At 42.3% G+C, this 24,865-nt stretch overlaps 2 protein-coding genes across 3 annotated transcripts in view, besides 3 other annotated features; both read right to left on the bottom strand.

The window, feature by feature from the left end:
- Positions 1-11,559, bottom strand: part of HIGD1C (HIG1 hypoxia inducible domain family member 1C) — a 41,483-nt gene extending 29,924 nt beyond the window's left edge. For both annotated transcript variants that reach the window (XM_017019783.3, XM_017019784.3), the window contains exon 1: positions 5,011-11,559. In XM_017019783.3, coding sequence (XP_016875272.1) covers positions 5,011-5,015 — 5 coding nt within the window. In that variant the 5' untranslated portion in view covers positions 5,016-11,559. The remainder of the gene's footprint in view (positions 1-5,010) is intronic.
- Positions 8,549-8,843: an enhancer, noted in NCBI's record as "tiled region #4642; HepG2 Activating non-DNase unmatched - State 5:Enh, and K562 Activating DNase matched - State 5:Enh". NCBI's record gives its function as "activates a minimal TATA promoter and a strong SV40 promoter by Sharpr-MPRA in HepG2 and K562 cells {active_cell/tissue: HepG2 | K562}" and the evidence as "EXISTENCE:reporter gene assay evidence [ECO:0000049][PMID:27701403]".
- On the bottom strand, positions 10,161-17,654 carry TMT1A (thiol methyltransferase 1A). Its single transcript, NM_014033.4, has 2 exons — positions 17,133-17,654; positions 10,161-12,755 (listed from the first exon to the last, which is right to left on the bottom strand). Exons 1-2 carry the CDS (start codon positions 17,628-17,630, stop codon positions 12,519-12,521), a joined length of 735 nt encoding a protein of 244 aa, NP_054752.3. The 5' UTR covers positions 17,631-17,654; the 3' UTR covers positions 10,161-12,518.
- Positions 16,774-17,317: an enhancer, noted in NCBI's record as "H3K27ac-H3K4me1 hESC enhancer chr12:51319135-51319678 (GRCh37/hg19 assembly coordinates)". NCBI's record gives its function as "activates a minimal SCP1, AML or CMV promoter by ChIP-STARR-seq in naive H9 embryonic stem cells {active_cell/tissue: H9 hESC(naive)}" and the evidence as "EXISTENCE:reporter gene assay evidence [ECO:0000049][PMID:30033119]".
- Positions 18,331-18,540: an enhancer, noted in NCBI's record as "active region_6365". NCBI's record gives its function as "activates an Ori minimal core promoter by ATAC-STARR-seq in GM12878 lymphoblastoid cells {active_cell/tissue: GM12878}" and the evidence as "EXISTENCE:reporter gene assay evidence [ECO:0000049][PMID:35858748]".

Raw genomic sequence — 24,865 nt, 5'->3', positions numbered from 1 at the left:
CTCTTAACTCCCAAACTCAGGCAATCCTCCTGCCTTGGCCTCCCAAAGTGCTGGGATTACAGGCATGAGCCACTACACCCAGCCAAGCTTTGCATTTTAAACTAAGGATTTTGAAAATTAACCTGAAAGCTATGGGAAGCCATCAAAGGATTTCAAGGAGGAAGTGATTTTTTATTTAGGTTCTGGTAGCAGCATAAAAAATAGATTGGAAGGGGTCAGACTGGAGGCCAGTTAAGCCAAGTAAAGAGTGATGTGTGCAGAAGCAATGGGGGAAGAAAGGATGAGACCACATCTGACTGGTTGTGGGCAGTAAGTGAGAGGGGGAGAGCTAGGATGATGTCCTGGTTTCCAGTTTGAGTTCCAGTAACAGAAATGGTTTTGCCATTCACTAAGTTAAAAAATATAGAGTAAGAAGCAGATTTGGGGTAAAAGGTCCCCCTCACTCAGAAATTGGCTGATTTGTATGGCAACAGAACAAGGGAACATGGGCCGGGTGCGGTGGCTCACGCCTGTAATCCCAGGACTTTGGGAGGCTGAGGTGGGCGGATTGCTTGAGCTCAGGAGTTTGAGACCAGCCTGGGCAATGTGGCGAAACCCATCTCTACCAAAAATACAAAAAAATTAGCCTGGTATGGTGGCGCACATCTGTGGTCCCAGGAGGCTAAGGTGGGAGCATCCCTTGAGCCTGGAGGGTGGTAGTTGCAGTGAGCCGAGATTGCACCACTGCACTCCAGTCTGAGTGACAGAGTGAGACTATGTCTCAAAAAAGAAAAAAAGGAACAAGGGAGCATGAATAGGAGAGTGATAATGTTAATGAATTGATTTACTCTGTAGTTCAGCCTGGTGGGAGAAGGGAATCAGTCCTGGTTGATAGCCAGAAACAGACCAGGTAGAGTGGAGGCATTGGAAGTCTCTAAGTTAAGGATCAGGTTTAGTGGGAGATGTAAAAGGCTAGGAGTCTGGGTTTAGAGAATGGGACTTTTGAGTTTAAAATTTCATATGTGGTGCTTTGGAAGTGTTTGTTTTATCTGTTTCCTCCTGAAATGGTACGTTTATTTGTAGGAGCATTTTTCTAGAGAGAGGACCTATACCTTTCATCAGATTCTCAAGGTTGTTGATGACCATACCGCCCCTCCCACCATAAAAGTTAAGAATTGGCATTAGATGGCACCATTTTTACCTAATTCTCATGTTTTTAGGCATACCTGCCATCCAAATGTTGTGCAAACGTAAGGCCAATGTTTATAGAATTTTACTCAGGAGCCCAGAATATGAAAGGAAAAAAATAAAAGCACAGTGGCAAAAACGTGGGCTGACAGGTTAACAATGTATTAATAGTTCACTTTCTCCAATGTTTCCTCCCATTTAAAAAATTGGGGCAGGCTGAGTGCAGTGGCTCATGGTTGTAATCTCAGCACTTTGGGAGATCGAGGCGGAGGAATCACTTGAGCCCAGGAGTTTGCGACCAGCCTGGGTAACATAGGGAGACCCCATCTCTACTAAAAATGAAAAAATTCAGCTGGGTATGGTGGCTCAGCACTTTGGGAAGCCCAAGAGGGAGGATTGCTTGAGGGCCAGGAGTGCAAGCCCAGCCTGGGCAATACAGTGAGACCTCATCTCGGTTTTTTGTAAAAAAATAAAAATAAAAATAAATAAATTAGCCGGGCATGGTGGCACATGCCTGTGGTCCCAGCTACTTGGGAAGTTAAGGTGGGAGGATCACTTGAGCCTGGGAGGTTGAGGCTGCAGTGAGCTGTGATCGTATCACTGCACTCCAGTCTGGGTGACAGAGTGAGACTCCATCTCCAGAAAAAAAAGAAAAGAAAAATTGGGGCAAATGGGATTGTATGCATTGGCAAGCAACTTGGTATACAGCATCATTTATATTTGTAGATATATAGATGTACATCTGTTTATTTTAATATTGCAGTCTTTTTTTTTTTTTTGAGATGGGGTCTCACTCTGTCGCCCAGGCTGGATTGCAGTGGTGCAATCACGGCTCACTGCAGCCTCGACTTACCAAGTTCAAGCAAGCCTCCCACCTCAGCCTCCTGAGTAGCGAGACTATGGACATGTGCCACTAGACCCGGCTAATTTTTGAAAACAATTTTTTGTAGAGATGAGATCTCACCGTGTTGCCCAGTTAGGTCTTAATCTTCTGGGCACCATGTGATCTTCTCACCTTGGCCTCCCATACTGCTGGGTTTTCAGGTGTGAGCCATTAAACCTGGCCAAGCCTTTGCTTTTTTAGGAAGGATTTTAGATTTATTTCTAAACTTCAGTGGACAATAAGATCAAAGAAGCTCTTCCTCTGGGATTAGATTTAGTAATCTGTTCCCATAACCTGATAGGCAAGATAGAATTAATTAGATGGTGTTTCTTTTATAGTTCTAATACTACCTGCTTAGCTTGACAGATAAGATGGGAGCCAAGATTAGAGAGATTTAGAAAACCATGTTTATATCCACAAGCAGTCTGTCTGGAACTTTTTTGTAGCAATTGAAGCAAGTGCTTCTCATGAGGGTGCTGAACTTTTTGTTAGGTACAAAAATAAGAATTTTGCAAACTATTTTTTTTACGACAGAAGCCTTTAAAATATACCAAATCTTCAGAAAACATTATAATGTATAATAATCCAGATGGGTTGGTTTGAGTGCAGTGGTGTTTACAGTGAACTGATCACAGCCAGTTATAGATTTTTGTTCCTCCTCCACTCCCACTGCTTCAATTGACTAGGCTAAAAAAAAAAAAAAAAATCCAGATGATTGGAATTTCAAGGCTACATTTATAGAAGTAAAATATCTTTTCTGATAGAAAAATAAACATTCTGTTCCTCTTACAAATGCTTAAGGAAGCAGGCCTTGACCAGAGTGAGAGACTGTGTGGAGAAGTTCCAGTGCTCAACACTGGCAGTTTTATGGTTTATGAAGCACCTTTTGTGTTTATCTCATTTCATCCTCATAAGAATCCTGGGAGATGTAGGTGGTGGTATCCTCTTTTACTAAGTTAATAATGATATTAGATGCAATGATGAGATCTGGATTCAAATATTCTGACTCCAAACCTCATGGTTTTCCACTGCACCACAAAGCAGGTAAAAGTGTCGAGGCAGCACTGACAGCCCTAAATACAGAGATGAGCGGCTTAAATTCGATTTTATCATTAGTAGGTACTTTCATAATTTTGAGTTGTGAGAATAGCCAAATTAAACTGTTACTTCAGGCCAGGTGCAGTGGCTCATGCCTCTAATCCCAGCACTTAGGGAGGCCGAGGTAGGCAGATCACTTGAGGCCAGGTTTTGGAGACCAGCCTGGCTAACATGGCAAAACCCCGTCTTTACTAAAAATACAAAAATTAGCTGGGTGTGGTGGCAGATGCCTGTAATTCCAGATACCCAGGAGACTGAGGCAGGAGAATTGCTTCAACTTGGGAGGTAGAAGTTGCAGTGAGCCAAGATCGCACCACTGCATTCTACCCTGGGTGACAGAGCAAGACTCCGTCTCAAAATAAATAAATACAAATAAACTGTTAAGAAAGATTGTCCTCATTCTGGAAATGGTGAGTAGGAAGACAGGAGGAGTGAAGGTGTGGAGGTATGGAGACCAACATGTAGCATTGTTAGGTATTAGACACTATGCTTTAGATCAGATATTGGTGCTTATCTAGGAAGCCACTTCTTTGTACCCCAGGAAAATTGCTTGCTAAGCTTCTCTTTTTGCCATGCTATGTTAGTGGGGTGAATTGGACAAAGAAGGGCAAGGAAGATTGAGTCAGTTGCAAAAGGAGTGTTTTTCTACTGTTTTATCTAGACTTAGTGTCTTCCCTACTTTCCTGTCATATCCTTTGAGTAACTAGGCAATAACTGGCAAGTTCTCACACAAATGGTTTGTCATTCCAGCCATCCCTGGTCAACTTATACAAATAGTTATCCAGGCACTAGTTCTCAAACTAAGGTGATGGTGATAGCTGTGGAAATGGAGTGGAAGGGACAAATGAGAGGTATGTAGAAGTGATGGTTGTAGCGGGCCATCTGGAGCGGCTGCTACAAGGATGCCAGCTACAGTAGGGGAGGCATGGCCAGGGCTGCACACTCTGTAGAGTCCACAGGGGCTGGGAACAGGAAGGAGCCCTGTGCCCTACTGAGTTGGTGGGGCACCAGCCCTGCACTCCTGGGCACAGCTGCAGCTGGCCAGCCACGGTTCTGGACCTGGGCATCCCTGTGCTCTTGGAAGTCTGGGAAACCCCCTTCCCCAACAGGCTTGGAAGTGCCTGCTCCCTGGCCTCTACCCACTCCCAGTACTCGCTCTGGTGTGGAACAAAGTTGTAGCCCCAAGCTCCAGCACTGTCACAACCTAGCAGGGGGTGCATGCACTCAGGGCGGTGCTGACACGCCAGCCTCCTGCCAGCCCTCTGCCACCTGGGCCCCTTCCAGACTTTGGACACCGAGGGGTGTGTAGGGGGGTGGGGGGGTGGAGGGGTGCAGAGGGAAGCTTGGAAGGGGCCTGCAGGCACCCCTTGGCACAGACAGCCTGGGCGCTGTGGAGGGCATATTGATGGCGGAGGGAGGAAGTTCAGTTTCCTAGGCTGGAAGGGGCAGGTACCCAGTGAAACCCCATCTTCAAGTCAGGGATGGCCAGAAGGTTGGGGGGCCAGGCTGCCAGTTCCAGGTACAGTCCACAACTCAGAGTGAGAATTTCATTGATGACCGTTTGGCCAATCAGATAATGCTTTTCCCAGGCCCATGCATGGCTGCCCATGGACCCATCAGCATGCACTTCCTCCATTCTGAGCACATAAAGTCCCCAGACTCAGCCAGACTCACACACTCAATGAGACAACCTGCCTGCAGATAGCAGCTACCCACTCTGGGTCTCCTCTCTGCTGAGGGCTGCATGCTTGATGGGATGTCCTGCCTGCAGAAAGGAGTTACCCACTTCAGGTCTCCTGAGAGCTGTTCTGTGGCTCAGTGAAGCTCTCTTCTGCCTTCTTCACCCTCCAGTGTCTATGTACCTCATTGTTCCAGGACACGGAACAAGAACTTGGGACCCACCGAGGGACCCGCCGAATGGTGGGACTGAAAGAGCTGCAACACAAATGGACTGAAGCACACACCACCCTTCTGCAACCCTTCCTGCTCGTCACGTTGCAGGCGATGAGAAGGAAAGAAAAGCTGCGGCCCTTCTGGGAGTCCAGATCTAAGGGCTCCCCAAGCCAGGGCTGTGACATGCTGTAACACCACTTTGAGGCTTCGGGGTCAATGGTGCCTCCAAGTTTTTGTGATGTCACCACATTCCCCTCGTCCAGATGCCACGCCCAAGCTGGAGGCAGGTCTTGGCATACCTGGCCCAGCTGCAGGCTGAGTACAGATCCCACAGAAAGTTGCAGGATCTGAGCCAGAGCACAAGCCAAGTGCAGCCCTGCTGGGTTTAGGGGGTCAGGTGTCTCCTGCGGCAAGCCCAGGGTGGAGTAAGGCCCTGGGCAGGGGTGTCACTAGCCATGGAGGTCTGCGTCTGGCAAAGCAGCACCAAAAAAATCCTTGTCAGAAGAACAGGCAGTACTTATGATGATTTAATCAGTAAATACTTTTTGAGCACGTGCTATGTAATAAGCAATGTGTCTGACATGTAGAAGAAACAAAGAAGAAATTGCTGGTGTGAAATCATACCTCTGGGTGTTAGTGATAAGAGATTTCTCAAAGAGGAAGTTTCTTGAAATAGCCAGAGAATGCTTTGTAGAAGGGGCATCACTTTATCTGATCCTTAAATAATACAGAAATAATCATAGGTAGTAGAGAAGTTAGACAGTGTTATTTATTTAGGAAAGGAGACAGTGTATTCTGGTTTTGCTGTGTTAAATTCTAAATATCAAAGGATTGGCAAAAGTATGAGGTTTAGGAATCTTCACACAGGTGATTTTTCATGACCTAAGAGTGGAAGAAAGGGTCAAGGGATTGAACATAGAATAATACAGAACAAATGAGTCTCAGGAGACCATCACAGTGAAATGGTGGAGGAGAGAAGAGACAAATATGGAGATCTTGGACTCAGAAGATGATCTTGGGAAGCTATACAGTGTAGTGGGGGAGGCCTGGGCTTCTGAGTCAGGCAAACTGCATGGGAACACTGGTGTGGACACTCACTTCATGGCCTTGGACAAGAAATATGCAAATCTGTTTTCTCATTTGTCAAATGGGGATAATTATCCCTGTCTTGTAGAGTTATAAGTACTATGTGAAATAATTGTTTAAAAAGTTAATGCCAGCTGAGTGTGATAGCTCATGCCTGTAATCACAGCACTTTGGGAGGCTGAGACTTGAGAATTGCTTGAGCCCAGGAGTTTGAGACCAGCCTGGGCAACATAGCAAGATCCTGTCTCTATAAATAAATAGTGCCTTGCATAAAGAAGATACTTAAGAAATGGAAATTATTAGATATTTGGGACATGGAATAAAAGGATTATTCCAAAGAGAAGATTGACATCAGTGTGAGGTACATTTTTTTTTTTTTTTTGAGACGGTGTTTTGCTCTTGTTGCCCAGGCTGGAGTGCAATGGTGTGATCTTGGCTCACTGCAACCTCTGCCTCCCAGGTTCAAGCAATTCTCCTGCCTCAGCCTCCCAAGTAGCTGGGATTACAGGTGGCCTCCACCACGCCCGGCTAACTTTTTGTATTTTTAGTAGAGATGAGGTTTCAACATGTTGGCCAGGCTGGTCTTGAACTCTTGACCTCAGGTAATCTGCCCACCTTGGCCTCCCAAAGTGCAGGGATTACAGGCACGAGCCACTGTGCCCGGCAGTGTCAGATACATGTTTAAAGATTGAGAAACATGCAGCCTCAAGTAAGACTATCATGCTTTTTACTTTTAAGAATGTTAAATTCTGGGGCTGGGTGTGGTGGCTAATGCCTGTAATCCCAGAACTTTGGAAGGCTGAGGAGGGAGGATCACTTAAGCCTAGGTGTTTGAGACCAGCCTGGGCAACACGGTGAGACCCTATCTCTACTAAAAATAAAAAAATTAACCAGGTGTGCTGGTGCATGCCTGTGGTCCCAGCTACTTAGGAGCCTGAGGCAGGATGATCACTTGGGCCTGGGAGATTGAAGCTGCAGTGAGCCATGATCACACCACCTCATTACAGCCTGGGCCACAGAGGGAGACCGTGTCTCAAAAAACAACAAAACAAAAAACGGTAAATTCTGAATGGTAATTTTCCTAGTTCACATATATGTTACCATGTAGTTCTCTGCAGGTTCCCAAGATGGTTTCCTTTAGAAACAAAATAATACCTTGCACATTGCTGGTTCATTATTTACTTTGCCCTTTGTTCAGGTGACCTCTGCTCCGTTTCTCTGGCACTGGGATTAACCAGTGGCTCCACAGTTCAACAGGGAATTCTTTTTATTTTTTAATGTAGCCTAATGCTTCTGGTTTTAAATATTGAGAGAGTTAAAGTGATACTGAACAGTTTGCCTTTTTGCTTTTGTTGGTACTGGTTTGCTATGATTCATCAGACTTTTAATTACTTTAACAGATAAACAAGAATTTCAGTTATGTTAAGTTCTGTGTTTTCTAAACCAAGACGAAAGGGGAAGGCTTATGGTACGATCAAGAGTACAAAAGGAACTATTAGGCAATGTCTGCTTTACTTTCTATTCAAGTTTGAACTATGTAGGAATTCAGATGAAACAATTTGAATATTAGAACACTTGGGAATAAAAAATGTTTCAGAATATAAGACATTTTAATGTACCTTTGTGTGTGTGTGTGTGTGTCAGCCATTAAAATAAGCATTTGGCTCATTGTCCCAGGGTCTTAACAAGATTTAGGAAGAAACTGATGGAAATAGTAACCATCCTAGAATCTGCCCTTGAGGCTCTGGTGCCCAGCCCTGTCTGGTTTCTTTCATTTCCTTGAATATAGTGTGTTTCCTCCTTTCACTTGGCTGTGGCACGAGCTATTCTAGTTGACTGAAATATTCTTTTTTCATTCTTTGGAATTCAGCTCAGATGTTACTTCCTCAAGAAAGCCTCAGAGCTTCTCCTCTTGGATAGGTCAGATTACATTCGCTGGGCACCCTGAGCTTCTTCCTCATCTATAGAAAACATTTATCATCATTGTATGCTCCACGCAGGCAGGGATATGTCTAGTTATTCAGGGCTCTAAGCCAGGCACTAAGAGCAGAGCACACAGTAGACACTCAATAAATATCTGTTGAATGAAGTCAACCTATATTAAGTGCCAAGTGCATTGCTTCATTTACTCCTCAGCATAACCTTTTAGGTAGATACCCCCATTTACAGATGAAAAAACAGATAACTTGCTCAAGGTCACAGACTCAACCAATGACACAACCAGGACTTGACCATGTCACTTTGATGCCAAAGCCAGTGTTTCAATTTGTCTTTTACTTTCTTTGTTGCAAGCAGTTATCCCACTGAAAATCCAGTGTTCTAAGCATTGTACTATATGATCTCCCATAGGAAGACAGACAGGGTCTGATCCAAATCCGGTGAAATCCAGCAATGGGTTTATAATGTATATTTGTTATGTGCCTTCCTAGCATCCATTGCAAATTCAACCCAATGACCACAACCAAGGAGCATTTAGCAAGGGGATTTTATTACTTGCAACAAGTAAGGAGAATGCCAGGGCTGTATCTCCCAGAGCAGTATCTCCCAGAGCTGGGGGCTTGGTCAGGTTTTGTAAGTATAGGGTAATGAGGCATGATCTGATTGGATCTTGCAATGAGGTGATGCCGGGAGGCATGATCTGACTGGATCCTGCCATGGGGTGATACCACAGCTTGATCTGATCGGTCATGGATCCTCCCATGTGTCTGCTTCTTAATTCAGTCCCCATCCTTGGACTGAGCACTTAGCTTAGGTTCCCCCTGTGGTTGCAGGCTTGGTTCATCTGGGTGTGCTCAGGGCACATGACCTGAGGGTCCATTGGCAACTGAAAAACAACTCACAACTTTGTTACATAAAGGTTAAATCAGATTGGTCTGGTATGGCCACAAAAAGTAGGCTTGCTCTTTCTAACTGGGCTTGTGCCCTGGAAGCATGAAGGTCAGAGCCATTTCTACCAACTTGCTACCTAATAGAGCAGAGGGGAGGACAGACATGACCCTAGAGATTGTCTGGCTCCTGATAACATTATCTGAGCCCTGTTCAGGCTGTGCCTGAGGCTTTCTGCCTGTATGATTTTCACTAATTTGAGTTGATAGTCCTTTTTCTGCTTAAGTCTGTTTGGATTGGGATTCTGTCACTTGGAATCAAAGGATTCCTAACCAATATAGGACCTAAAAGACATTGGACATGTTTTGCCTTTTTTTCTTTCTCCCTTTTGCACAGGCTGAAGTCATTTCCTCAGGCTCTTAAAATGATTATAAATATGTGTTCTCTGGATTCAAGGAGGAAAGCAGTAAAAGAAGGTGTTATGGCAGCAATGATTATCAAAGGAGATTTTGTGGTTTGGGGAGTCAGGGCTTCTAAGACTTGCTCAGTAACTTGTGGAATGACTGTAAAAAACTTCATTTATTTATTTCTCTACACCTCAGTTTTCTCTGAAAAGTGACAATAATATTTGCCACACCACTTAGACAAGAGGGAATTGACAAGACTGTGCCTAGGACTTTGTACTTTGGTATTATCTTTCAGTGTAATGACATTTCATCATTTCAACCTGTGGCTTTTCCTATTTCTCAATCACTAGACTGACCAATAGTGAGATGGTTGGATTAAGGAGGTTCCAATTCTGGGGAGATGACAGAGGAAGGAGATTCATGTTCCAGAGCTTAGGAAGCAGTAGGTGTGCATTCGACCTCACTGCATCAATAACTTTTCACGTTCAAGAGATAGTTAAAATAGTAAAAGCTTCCTTTCTTTCTGCTCTGTGGATTTCACAAATGGGATCGTTAGACTTGAACTTTTTTGCTTTTTTAAAGTAGCCAAACATGATCACATGATGGACTTGAACTTTTCAAAACCCATTCTGATACTTCTAGGATTGCTTTGTGTAAAATCTATTGGCTGTGTTTATAGTTACCTGGCTGTAGAAAGAAAAATTTACATGTTTAAATAGCTAAAATTTCCACAATGAAGGAATAAGCCTCCCAGAGACATTAAGAAAAAGGAAACCAAGCCAGCAAAGATATAAACCATATTTCTGTTCCTAACACAAATGTGAATTTATTGGTTGATTTGATATTTAAAATAGTACTTTTACAAAATCATCTCAGAAAATATACTACATTTATTAAAATTCCTACAAACCATTGCAGAAAATATTAAACCCTCTAACCAACCTAACACTCGCTTTCAGAGGCACTTGTGATGATTTTCACAGCTTCCATAGTTGCAAAGAACAAAGAAATCATCTTCCAACAGGGGTGGAATTAGATAAGAATAATCCAAAAAATATTTATTTCTTTACAGACTCACAGATTGCTTGATGTTTAGGGGCTCTTACCTAGGATACCTAATTATTCAAGGTTTTCCTAATTTAGTAGACTTTTTCATTGCCTACAATCTACAATATTCAGCAAAGTATTAAGGAAAATGAACCCAAGAACCTTAACCACCTCAAATAGTTTTATGGATATACTAAACTGTCAAGTACAATCTTTATCTTAAGACTTGAGAACTGGAATGCAGGAAAACAAACTTTGGTGGAATACTGGAATAAAAGACATAAAGCTGGGCAGAACTAGGTGTGGCAACCTTGTATGTTAATTCTGAAAGCCAGACCAGTGACGCTAAGAATAACAAATAGATTCAGATTTGTTTTTCAGAAACTTGAGCTATTTCGGCCAGGTGCACTGTCTCACACCTGTAATCCCAACAATTTAGGAGGTCAAGGTGGGAGAATCACTTGAGCCCAGGAGTTCAAGACCGGCCTAGGCAACACAGTGAGACCCTGTCTCCCTGTCTCTACTTCTTTTTTTTTTTTTTTTTTTTTTTGAGACGGAGTCTTGCTCTTGTCACCCAGGCTAGAGTACAATGGCATGATCTCGGTTCACTGCAACCTTCGCCTTCTGGGTTCAAGAGATTCTCCTGCCTCAGCCTTCCAAGTACCTGGGATTACAGGCACCCACCACCACGCCTGGCTAATTTTTTTTTTTTTTTGTATCTTTAGTAGGGTTTTGCCATGTTGGCCAGGCTGGTCTTTAACTCCTACCTCGTGATCCACCCGCCTCGGCCTCCCAAAGTGCTAGGATTACAGGCGTGAGCCACCACGCCCAGCCCCCTGTCTCTTTTTTTAAAACACAATTTAAAAGCAGAAAGAAAAAATCTGTGCTGTTTAGACTCAGATTCTTAATTAGCTAGTATTTCTTAATTCAATCAATAAATTATTAAGACCTTTTCACTGCTCCCTTTTTAAAGTCTTCTTTGGAGTGATTTAAGTGCTTCTTATTACCAAGCTCTCAAAGAGAAGATAAAATTAAAATCTGATGGGTAACCATTTAAATAAGACAACTGGGGTAACCCATTTCTCCAGGACCCCTCTCTGCAACAGAGAGCTATTCTCTTTCTTTGGCCTAGTAAACCTCTGCTCTTAACCTTAAAAAAAAAAAAAAAAAAGCAATTGGAAAAAATTTCAAGTCAATGAATAAAATAAGATTTGGGGATAATGGTAGATGCTAATTATGAAAGTCGACTGTTTCCTTTGAAGGGGGAGTTCAAAGCTGTTTTTTTGATGTGAATTCTTTGGGAGACAATAGAAAATGGCTAAATAGGATATAACAGAAACTTTTAAGGATGGAATTCAACTTTACCTAAAAAAGGTTTCAGGCCAGGCATGGTGGCTGACGTCTGTAATCACAGCACTTTGGGAGGCCGAGGCAGGCAGATCACCTGAGGTCAGGAATTTGAGACCAGACTGACCAACGTGGGGAAACACCATCTCTACTAAAAGTACAAAATTAGCCGGCGTGGTGACGCATGCCTGTAATACCAGCTACTCAGGAGGCTGAGGCAGGTGAATCACTTGAACCCGGGAGGTGGAGGTTGTGGTAAGCTGAGATCACAGCATTGCACTCCAGCCTGGGCAACAAGAGCGAAAACTCCGTCTCAAAACAAAACAAAAAAACCTTAAGCTGGGTGCGGTTGCTCACGCCTGTCATCCCAGCACTTTGGGAGGCTGAGGTGGGTGGATTGCCTGAGATCAGGAGTTCAAGACCAGCCTGGCCAACGTAGTGAAACCCTGTCTCAACTAAAAATACAAATTAGCTGGGCATGGTGGTGGGCACCTGTAATCCCAGCTACTAGGGAGGCTGAGGCAGAAGAATCGCTTAAACCCGCGAGGTGGAGGTTGCAGTGAGCGGAGATCACGTCATTGCACTCCAGCCTGGGCAACAAGAGCAAAACTCTTTCTTCCCGCCAAAAAAAAAAAAAAAACCAACAACAAACCAAAAAAACCGCCCCCCAAAAAAAAGGTTTCTCTTCTCCCACTTAGCATTTTAAATGTAAAACTGAAGCTTTAAATTCTTTGAGCCATTCAGCTCTTAACTGCCAGCTCACACTATTTCACAGCATATCCATAGATATGAGGGCGCACCAACTCCCAGGACAGTGGGGCCTGGATGTGCTGCAGCTTCAGCTTAGAGAAGCTGGCCCGCTCCAGGGCCTTCCAGCTCTCTCTGGTCAGGTTGCACCCATCAAACAGAAGGTGCCAGGCAGGATCCAGGACTTGTTGCCAGAAGTAATTCCAAGTCGAACACTCAGCTGCCACATGCTCCATGAAATAGAAAGCCCCTCCCTGAGAAAGAAAGAAAAAAAAAAACATTTCAAGGATTTTTTCATTTCTGCTTTTTTAATTTATTTTTTGAAAATTGTTCTCTGGCACTGCCTTGCAAACCTGTGAGAGAACCGTAGAGTTCTGAGCAGGAGGGTCACTCCACACTAAGCACACCCTTGAGACTGAATAACCATGTTTTAAATTTTTGTGCCATTTTCACAAATATGTACGTGATATGATTAATGAAAATTCTGATTCATCTAAAATCATTACTGAATTCAAGGTAACATTTTGTCATTAGGTATTTTATTCAGTCAGTGGATGCTAAATGTAAATTACTCTTTGTAGGAATTAGCAACTGCTGCTTTCATTGAGGAGTTTTATAAATGTTGATCAAGTACAGGCACAATAGATGTTATTACATGTTATGTGTGGGGACATCTTCAGAAGTTTTCTACATATCTACCTCTGAGGGGAGTAAGGAGCAAGGGACCAGACAGTCACCTCACAAAATTGTGGTAACTGCACCACTCTTCTTGGCCTCCTCTAGTTATCCTAGTCTTGGCTCCTCAGGCAGAGTTTAGAGAGAGAATTCAGTTTAGTGATGGAGTTTCCCCAAATTATATGGGTCAGTGTAAGACCTATGTTACGAATAGAAAAATTGGAATTTCCTGATTTATTTATTCATTTATTATTTCTTGAGACAGGGCCTGGCTCTGTCACCCAGGATGGAATGCAGTGGCACAGTCTCAGCTCACTGCAACCTCTGCCTCCTGGGCTCAAGCAATCCTACTGCCTCAGCCCCCCAAGTAGCTGGGACAACAGGTGCACACCACTACACCCAGCTAATTTTTTTTTTTATAGAGACAGAGTTTCGCCGCATTGCCCAGGCTGGTCTCGAACTCCTGAGCTCAAGTGATCCTCCTGTCTAGGCCTCCCAAAGTGCTGGGATTACAGGCGTGAGCTACCGTGCCCGGCCCTGATTTTAAAAAAAATCTTCATAGGATAGGGCAGCATAAAGGAGGAGAGGCAGGTTTGGGGAGGTCAGTGTTGCCCTCTGGTTTACATATGTTAAGAGGTGCCTCTGAGCAATCCAGGAGACTGTTGAGTAGACGGCTGGATATGAAGGTTTGGGGTCAGAAGAGAGACCTGGGATAGATGTTTAGATTTGGAAACATCTGTATATATGTGGTATTTGAGAACTGTGGAGGTATATGAGATTGCTGGGGAGTGTATATAAGTGAAATGAACCAATGAAAGGAGTTAGCCAGCTTGCTTTAGGCAGACAGTAGGGAAGGGTCCCGGAAGAACTTCTGACCAGTCCCACAAATGGTTACATGAGATGTTTTGTGCAGATAAGGGAACTTGCACAGGGGCTTGCCTAAACATGCCTGCAGCCCACTAAGGCCCCACATGCACGCTGGGGGAATGGGGTGGAGCCACCAGGAATTCATGCCTTTACAAACAGGGAATCCAGCTCCATCAGCTTTTCAGTTGCGAAGGGGGCAACCAGCAACCTGTTTTCAGGACCCCTCTTTTTGCTGAGAGCTTTCTGTTTCGCTTGATAAATTCTACTCCACTCACTCTTCCATGTTCACGTGCCTATTTCTTCCTGAATGTGAGACAAGAACCTGGACCTAGCTGAGCTAAGGAGCAAAAATCCTGTGTCACCAAGAAAGGAACCCCAGTGGTAGGAGATGGGTAGAGGAAGAAGAGCCAGCAAGAGTGATAGCAATGTTGAAATCAGAAAGATGAAAACCCCAATAACAAGCACTGTGGTACAGTGGTAAGAATATTTGCATTTGCATTTGGCTGGGCGCGGTGGCTCACACCTGTAATCCCACCACTTTGGGAGGCCAAGGTGGGTGGATCACTTGAGGCCAGAAGTTGGACACCAGCCCGGCCAACATGGTGAAACCCCATCCCTACTAAAAATATAAAAGTTAGCCAGGCGTGGTAGCATGTGCCTGTAAACCCAGCTACTCGGGAGGCTGAGGCAAGGAGAGTCACTGAACCTGGGAGGTGGAGGCTGCAGTTAGCCAAGATCATGCCACTGTACACCAGCCTGGGCGACAGAGCAAGACTCTGTTTCAAAAAAAAGGAATATTTGCATTTGCATTAAAGAGAGCCATGTCTACTAGCTGTGTAACTTTGGGCAAATTCCTTAATCTCTCTGAGTCTGTTTCTTTGTCCTAACATGAAGATATGTACTTTAGAGGACTGTTGACAGGGTTAAATGAAAATGTAATAAAGTTCCCTTGTTATATCCAGCAGAGAGTGGGTGCTTGGCAGGAGCTAAGGAAGACTATCACGAATGTGATAACTTTAAGAGTTCAATTGATTTTTGGCACTGGAAAACTGAGATAATAATTACCTGCCTTGCAGCGGTGTTGGGAGATTAGTAACACTGTAAGCAAAACATCTACTAATGTGCCAGTTGGTGCCCAGTCTTAGCATATAAGAACCCAGCATTTGGGTATAAGAATCAGTCCTTTTTTATTTACTACTCTGATATTGAGCCAAGACAGGATTGTATGATTTTCCCTAAACCCTATCTCCAAGTTCTTTTCTTCCTGAGGAACTTCCTCTATTAGAAAATAAAACTGATGGTTGGGCATGGTGGCTCACACCTGTAATCCCAACACTTTGAGAGGCCAAAGTGGGCAGACCACTTGAGCCCAGGAGTTTGAGACCAGCCTGGGCAACATGGCGAAACCTCATCTCTACAAAAATACAAAAACTAGCTGGGTGTGGTGGTGCATGCCTGTAGTCCCAGCTGCTGGGAGGGTGGGGAGGCTGAGACGGAAAGATTGCTTGAGTCCAGCAGGTCAAGGCTGCAGTGAGCTGTGATCATGCCACTGCACTCCAGCCTGGGTGACAGAGGGAAACCCTGTCTCAACAAAAAATGAAAACTGGGGATTACAAAACATGCCTTTCCCCCAGAAGAGTAAATTCAAATGTTAAGATATCCATATCTTCAACTTTGTTCAGAATATAAAACGATTTTAAACTAGCTAAAAATAATAAGGGTAATATGTGAAAACTACATACAGGTATAAAGAATTACAGACTTTACGGAAAGGTTTAAAATGAAAAGTAATTCTTTCCCTGAATCCAATCCCATTCCCCAAAGGCAACCACTGTTAATAGTTACTTGTCTGTCATTCCCATTAACTTATACACATATATGTATCTCCTCTCCCTGCCTCACACAATGGGCATGTGGTGGGCCTACGCTCTACCTAACATTCTGTGGCTTGATTGCTTTTTGTTTTCATTAAACATTATCCCTTGGGGATTTTTAAGTATCAGCACAGATAACTCTTCTTGTTCTTTCTGACAGCTGCACAGTGTTCCTTTATACAATATGACAACTCACTTACATAGCATCCTATTGATAGACATTTCAGTTATTTCCAGTTTGTGCAATTACAAATTCTACTTAATATTCTTGTGTATGGACAAGTTTTTGCATGTGGATAAAAGAGTATGTGTGGTTTAAATTTTGATATTATCAGATACCACCCAAAGAGGGTACCTCTTCTAATGTGTATGGTGGTGTCCAGTCCCCTAAACCCACCCCAACCCTATACTGACCTTAAAAGAAGTCCCTAACAGTATAATAGGTAAAATTAGTATCTCCTTTAATTAACTCTTTAAGTTTGAGCACTTTTGTCCTATAATTGGTTTACATTTCTGTTCCTGTTATTTGCCCATTTTCCCTTTTGTTTTTCTTATTGAAAAATATTGATCTTATTGACATGTAATGTCTTTTAACATGAGGGAAGTTAACCCTTTGTCTATCATCCCTGGCAAATATTTTTTCCAAGCTTGTTTTGTAGTTTAACTTTGTTTTGGGGAGTTTTTTTTTCTTATTCTTTTTTTTCTTTCTTTCTTTTTTTTTTTTTTTTTTTTTTTGAGATGGAGTTTCACTCTGTTGCCTAGGCTGGAGTGCTGTGGTGCAATCTTGGCTCACTTTAACCTCTGCCCCACCAGGTTCAAGCGATTCTCCTGCCTACAGGCACCTGCCACCATGCCTGGCTAATTTTTGTATTTTTAATAGAGATGGGGTTTCACCATATTGGTCAGTCTGGTCTCGAACTCCTGACCTCAAGCGATCTGCCTGCCTTGGCCTCCCAAAATGCTGGGATTACAGACGTGAACCACTGTGCCCGGCCAGGAGGTTTTTTCTTTATAGCAGTTTTAAGTTTTTATATTCAGATTTATCAATCTTTCTCTTTATAGCTTCTCTCCCACGCTAAAATTTTAAAAAATTCTACAGTATTTTCTAGTAGTTTACTTTTTATGTTAAAATGTTTCAGCCACCTGAAATTGACAGGCCTGCCCTCTATGATAATAGCTGCTACTAACTAGTCCTCCTCACACCCTTTCACTCACCGGTCTCAGCACTCTGCACACCTCGCGGAGAATCCGCTCCTGGTTCTTCACAGAGCACAGCACCAGGGTGCAGACCACCACATCCACAGAGCCATCAGCCACCTGGTGCATGTTCTCCCCGGCAGCTACCACAAAGCGCTCAAACTGCAGGTGTCGGTTCTCTGCAATGCTCTTGATCAAAAACTTCTCAAAGTTGGGGTTGGGGTCAATACAGGTCACCCTGCACCCAGGTGGGTAGAACTTGAAGTTGGCCCCCGTGCCACAGCCCACTTCCAGCAGGGAGAGTTTCCCGGAGGGGCCCGCAAACTCCTGCAGGTTACTGAAGAGCTCCCGCTTCTTGCTTGCCATCTGTTCGTTGTATATCACAGTGAACCTCACCAAGAAGTAGGGGAACCATTTTTTGCATATCCAGCTCCACAAGCCCAGAAAGTTCAGCAGGTACAAGGGAAATGTCAGGATGTAAATGGCCAGTCTCAGGATAAAGATGGTAAGCTCCATTGCTCAGAAGGGAAAAAAACAGATCAACAGTTAGAGACCCGACTCCTTTAATTGCAGGAGAGAGGCTTCTGGCCACACTCCAGAGCCAATCAGCTGCAGAGGAGAAAAAGAACTGGCTGTGCTGGAAAGTCAAATCATGGGCAAGAGGCCAATTTTGCCTAATAGATGTTTGGCAGCAGTCGATTCAGCTTAGTTTTCATAAGGCAAAATGAGAAGGTTCCCAGCTTTTCCTCAGAAGGAAAGTGGATTATAATCCTTTATTCCTAATCGATTCCTGTTTCCCCTTCTCTGGGTTTGGAGACAGCTGCTAGCTTCCTGCTAGAGTTTTATAAGCGCAGTGTACTTACACCCCACCGGGCTCTCCAGTGACCTCTAAAAGAAAACAGAATTCGTGGGTGGAGCCTGGTCAAACCACACCAGAAGAGTGCTGCCAAGGCCCCTTTATCATAACACATCCCCCTTACTTCCCCCGCCCAAACCCTGTTTTTTTTTTTTTTTTTTTTTTTTTTAAAAAAAAAAAAAGGAAGTGAAAGGACATGCATGCCCGGCCACAGTCAGCAAGAATTCTCTCTTTTACATTCTGGGCAGAGGCTCTCAGTGTTCACAACTCAACGTTTTTGTAAACCAAAAATAATGTTCTAAGGCCTCTAACCATCTGAATGGACTTTCTCCTTGGCCAGGGCGCTTTTAAAATTTAACTTGAGAGATTGTTTCAGGCCATGAGGGGAAGTGGGGGTCAGATATGCCTCATTATACCTCAAGCCGGCATTCACATCAACGCAGACCTTAAGTACATTTACAATCTATTCTCTCTGAAGCCTGCTACTTGGAGGCTTCATCTGCATAATAAAACTTCAGTCTCCACAACTCTTATTGCAACCCAGACATTTCCTTTCTATTGATCCCAGGTCTTTAGATAAACTCAACCAATTGTCAACCAGAAAAATTTAAAACGTACCTATAACCTGGAAGCTCCCTGCCTCGCGTCGGGTTGTCCTGCCTTTCTGGACTGAACCAATGTATTTCTTAAATGTATTTGATTGAAGCCTCATGTCTCCCTAAAATGTAGAAAACCAAGCTGTACCCTGACCACCTTGGGCACATGTTCTCAGGATTTCCCGAGGGCTGTGTCACAGGACATGGTCACTCATATTTGGCTCAGAATAAATCTCTTTAAATATTTTACAGAATTTGACTCTTTTTGTTGATATTTTAAAATCACTGTTTTGGGCTGTACTTCCCCTTTTAAAACAATTTTTGGCTCAAGGAAGTCAGTTTGTGGGCTGCCCTTCTTTTAAAGGACAAGCCTCAGTCTTCAAAATGTGCCTAACTACTCGATTACTCAGCTAATTTGGATAAAAATATTTCCCAGAATATTCACATTTGGGAGCCAAAGGGATTCAGAAAATAGTTTCAAGCATCCATCCGCTTTTTACAAGAAAGCCCGAATCTGGGCACAGTGGTGGGTGCCCATGGTCTCAGCTACTGAGGAGCTAAGACAGAAGCATACCTTGAGCCCAGGAATTCAAATCCTGTCTGGGCAACATAGTGAGACTCTATCTCTTTAAAAAAAAAAAAAAAAAAAAGAAAGAAGAAAAAGAAAAAGGCCTGAGCTTTAGGGTGGCTAGGGAACACAGAAAAAAATAATTTTTTAAAAATAGTAAACATTTACTTTAAAAAACTGGGTGATGGATACAGGGAGTGTTCTGTTGTTTCATGATTTGTTATAACCTGCATGTATTTTATAAATATTGTATCTATTCCATTTTTAACAGATTTTTTTAGGTGGAATTGACATATAATAAACTTTACATATTTAATGTGTACAGTTTGATAAGTTTTGACATATCTATATACCTGTGAACCCATCACTTCAGCCAAGATAAATGAACATATCCATCACCCCTAAAAGATTACTCTTGCTCCATTGTGATCCTCCCTTCTGCATTCCTAATCCTGAGGCAATCAGTGGCCTGTTTTCTGTCTGTGGCCTGTTTCCTTTCCTTTTTTTTTTTTTTAAATGAGCAGCAGCAAGATTTATTGTGAAGAGCGAAAGAACAAAGCTTCCACAGTGTGGAAGGGGACCCGAGCGGGTTGCCCTTCTGTCTGTTTTTGAAAACAGGATCCAGGGAAGAAACTGAGCAACTCCACAGGACTGGAAGATTCTAAAGCCCTCAGCAAAGGAGAATGAAAGTAATTTTGTAGAGAATTTAATTATTCTTTTTAAAATGGAGAGGCCTATGGCCACAAAGTTTGCTTGTAAGAAAAGTACCAAAGTAACCCCAGACATAATCATTAAGAAAATTAAAATACTTTTGGGAACCTACCTGGCTGGACAACTTTGCCATTTATCTCCAGCTATAGATATTTCCTTTTACAAATCAGACAACCTCATTATCCTTCTGGTGACACACTCTTTTCTTTTTTTCTTTTGCACTTATCTTTTGTTTTTGTTTAGGGAAATAGCCTGAATGTTGTTCCTGAAACTGTTTTTCAGAATTGTGAAAACAAAACAGCATTCTGAGGCTCTTAGCAAAGGACAATACCTGGGTCACAAAGCCCAGTTGAGACAGATGAAATTGAATTATCAGGCTGGGTGCCGTGGCTCACACCTGTAATCCCAGCACTTTGGGAGGCCAAGCAGGCGGATCACTTGAGGCCAGGAGTTTGAGACCAGCCTGGCTGAGGCATGAGAATTGCTTGAAGCTGGGAGGTAGAGGTTGCAGTGAGCTGAGATTGTGCCAGTGCACTCCAGTCTGGGCGACAGAGTGAGATGAGACTGTCTCAAAAAAATAAAAATAAAAAATAAAAATGAAATTGAATGGTCAACTCAAATAATGGAATACTTAATTTTCAAAAAGCCCTACAAAACAAATGTACTACTGATACATACAACAACAAAAATTAATCTTACAGATTAAAGGAAGAGAGTACATACTGTAGCATTTTATTTACATGAAATTCAAGCAGACTTACTTACATAGACATTTTGGGGTTATTGACTTAGAGGCCACAAAGGTGCCTTCTAGGGATATTGGAAATGTTCTATATTTTGATTTTGTTGGAAGTTAAACAGATATATATATACACACATATATATGTAAAAATTTATCAAGCTGTACACTTAAAGTTTTTGCACTTTAATTATATGTAAATTTATCTCAATGAAAAGTAATAAGACTTCAAGAAAAGACATAATAGGAATAAAAGGGCACATGTACAGATAATATAGAAAAATTTATATGAGAATACTAGGCACAACTTTATGCTAATATGTTTGAAGAGTTGGATAAATTAATTTTCTGCAAAATTGAAAATACCATAATTGATTCAAGAAGACATAGAATATCTGATTAAACTACTAACCATTAAAGAATCTAAACTGGTAGTATGTATGTCTTTACTCCCATGTCACGATTTCCAAAGTTATCAGAAACCTGCATGTGAAAGCACCTGTTAAAGTCTTATAGCTGATTATAAGCTGTCTCTTGAAAAAGCTTAAAACAAGACGACAATTGTCTGTGAATGACAAAATTTCTAGGGTAGTTACAGTTAAAAACACGATTGACAAATCTGGTTATTTCTGTGGTTGACAATGGTTTAACATAACCTTAATTTTGATTGATAACATGTACTCAGACATTGGAATTTTAGACATCCCATACAATTTTGGAACACATATCAGTATTATTCACTAAAATATAACCTGAAGAACATTAAACATCATTTTGGCAATTCCACGTGCCTAAATATGTTAAATAATCCTGTTTACCTCTCTTCTGGATGCTTCAGGGCCCTCTGTAGCATTGAAAAGCTAGAGGGTCAGGAAAGACAATTTTGAAACTGAAGTTTGATTTTGAAAAGCCTGTTAAATGTTAGAGGTTTAAAACACTTGATATTATGAAATACAGTTCCAGGTTACCATAAGTTATTTACTTTGCCTAAATGATGACTCAAAAATTTTAAAACAAGGCAAAAATCTTTACTCATTAAGAGGGAAGACTTAGCTTTCCAAAGTTTGTCTCCTGTCTTCTTTCCTCTTCTTGGCAGTCTATCCACCATGCAAATGAAAATCTTTCATTATTCTTCACTATTACATGACAATCGTATACAAGGGAGAGAAAGCAAGATTTTACCCTTAAGTTGGTTTCAAAACAATCCTTTATCCTTAGGCAATATTTACATTTCCATGCCTTTTTATAATATTTTACCACAAAACATTTTACTGTTCTTACACACCTTGTATGTAAATCTATTTTCAGTAGTCTCATTTACATGTTATAATGGTAACTCTTAGCAATTTTTAACTTTAAAATTTAGTAAGTTGTTTTAATTATGTACTAGGTGCAGATAAAGTCTGACTTTTTCCAGCATAGTTAGGGGAGTGGTTAATTTTGTACATCCCTAGGCCTTACAGAGTTGTAAAGCAGGCAGTTTACAACCTTGAAACATTAAGCAAACCTAGTATCTGACTTGCATGATTTAGACCACCTATTTACATTTTGACGACATTTATTTATACCAATTATCTTTAAAACTATTTTTATTTCTTAAAGTCACATGAACTAAAAGACAACTTTTTTCTTTAAAAAATATTTAAGTGCTTATTTTTTTTAAGCCAATCAGAACTCTTTTTATAGACATCATACACAACACATATATAGCTACACAGACAAACAGAAGAGGATCTAGTCATTATAAGATTTTTCATTTGCCAATCTTCTAATTGGATTATTGGCCTCCAAGTGGGGCCCTTTAAGAGCAGGGGTGGGAGAGTGAAATGGCTACATTGTCTGGGGTATATACCCTGGGGTTCGTTGTCTCATGCCAAGAAAGAATTCAGGACACAGGCCCATGTGGGTGGGTTAAAGAGTGGAAAGCTTAATAAAAGAAAGGAGAGAGGAGAGCAGCTCCTTGAGAGAGACATCTGAAAAAAGTGGGTAGGTAGTAGACCGCAGCAGATTTTATAGGCAGGCTAGAGAAGGCGGTGACTGATTTACGTAGGGGATTGGTTTGATAGGTATGACATCTACATAGCGTGCAGGGAAGCCTGGCTGCCCTATCCTAATCTAACGCAAATGGGCTTTCTAGTTGATCGGTACCATCTTGTCTACTCCTTACTAGACACATGGCTGACAAAGAGAAGGGAAGATGGAACCACCCTCTTGAACATGTCTGGTTTGTAGTTCCTGCCGACATTCACCTGTGCAAGCTCCCAGCTTGCTTGTCTATATGTCTGCAGCTTGACTTTACAGGCTGTTCTTGTTAGAAAATGATTGGGCTGATTTCACTGAAGAGAAAAGCCTTACTTGAGGACTCCCATACCCTTACTATCTGCCTATGTGAATTCTTCTTAACTCCTATATCAAAAGCATGCAGTTTCTGGGGAAGACAAAAACAGATTTTGAGAGGGATCTATCTGCCTCTAATTCCTGGGGTTCCATGAGGAAAACAGAGGTTTCTCCCAAAATGGAATCCATGGAGCCTTTTCTGTTTTTACCAAGGAGTCCTAGGCCATCAGAAGTTATCTTGGGGCCTCTCGTGCATGCATTAAGAGTGGCAAGACAAAATGGAAAAGAAGAATGTAGGTGACTGGTTAAAAACCTTTTCTACAAAAACAAGAGCCAAGAAGAGAAAAACATAAAGGCCTTTTAAATATACCTATAACTTGGATATCCACTTTTAATTAAGCTGAGTGCTCTTTAAGAAAATCCTTTTAAATCCCTTGTTACCTGACTTTAGTCACACTAAGTGGTTAAGATTTCTGGCATTTGAACTTTACCAAAAGCAACCTCACAGGTGAAACCAACAAGCCTCAATTAAGGTTACGATTTAACCATGAGTGTACAAGGTATTTTCAAAGGGGTGGTAAGCAGCTTTTGAAACCACCATTGTGAAACTGCAACTGAGACAGTAAAAGAGATCTGACCCAACCAACTCCATGTTGCCTCTGGCCTCCAAGCTGCCCTTATTCATTCCTGGGCATAGGCTGAACCAACTCTGGGAAGAACTTATAGTTTATAGTCCAAAACGAAGATGATAACAGCCCTTTCCCAAAACAAACCTCCTTTCCTGGGGACCAGACTGCCTTTGTCAGACCAAGAAACCAACCACAAGATTAGGAACTATGGTTTAGGAATCATGCAGCTGGAGGCCACAAGATTCTAGCCCTCCCTAAACTGCTCCTAAGATCAGTGCTTGAGATATTTTGCAGACCCTGCACTTGATGGATTAGCTGGATGGATTAGACTGATAAACTGGCTCATCTGATCTTGTGGCCCCTTACCAGGAACTGACTCAGCACAAGAGGACAGCCTCGACTCCCTGTGATTTCATCTCTAACCTAAACAATCAGCATTCCCGGCTCACTGGCCTTCCCCACCCACCAAGCCGCCTCAAAAACTCTGCTCCCCAAATGCTTAGGGAGACTGACCAGAGCAATAACAAAACTATGGTCTCCCACACAGCCAGCCCCACATGAATCACCCCCTCTCCATTTCAATTCCCCCATCCCAATAAATCAGCTCTTTTGAGGCAGTGGGCAAGGTGAACCTACTGGGTGGCCACACTTGTACAAAATCTAGAACCTTTAAAGGCAACTCAGAGAAAGGAAGATTTAAGAAGGGAAGCTAGAAGTTGTTCATGGAGGGGAACAGAATCAGCAAATGGCAAAAGTCATACAGACATTAACCCAAAGGTACTCATTCTCCAAGCCAGGATTGAACTCGGGCCATCGTTGTAAAATGGTGGAGATTAAAACAAAGTATTGCCACATGGTTACAGGTCACACTTCCAAGGATGTAAAACAAGATGGAGGCCTATAGCAAAGTTTGTTATTGACCAGTTTACCAGGCTGGCTTGAACAGTGGGCTTATGGAGCTCTAGACCCACATTCCATCCTAAGGTACCCCTCTTTCTGACAGAACCGTACAGAAAGACATGCAAAGCACACCAGATTGGCTACAGCTTAAGACCAACTTCATAAATCCTTTTTCATTAATCAAAGCTTTACAGAGAATATAAACAGTGATCCTTATTATTCCTTTTACTGGTTTGCACAGGGAGAGAGAAGCCAAAAGCTAAACTGGTAAAAAAACAAAACAAACAAACAAAAAACAACCCTTTTACCTTTTTGGAATGGCATGGCAGGCTTCTGGGTGCCCTCCCCACAATCAATTCTAAGCCAAGAATTTTAAGGTTTAAGGTTTGAGAAATTAACTTTTCCCAGTTTGGAG

The sequence above is a fragment of the Homo sapiens genome, chromosome 12, assembly GCF_000001405.40.
Source record: "Homo sapiens chromosome 12, GRCh38.p14 Primary Assembly".
Taxonomy (NCBI): Eukaryota; Metazoa; Chordata; class Mammalia; order Primates; family Hominidae; genus Homo; species Homo sapiens.
This window is presented reverse-complemented; position numbering and strand designations above follow the sequence as displayed.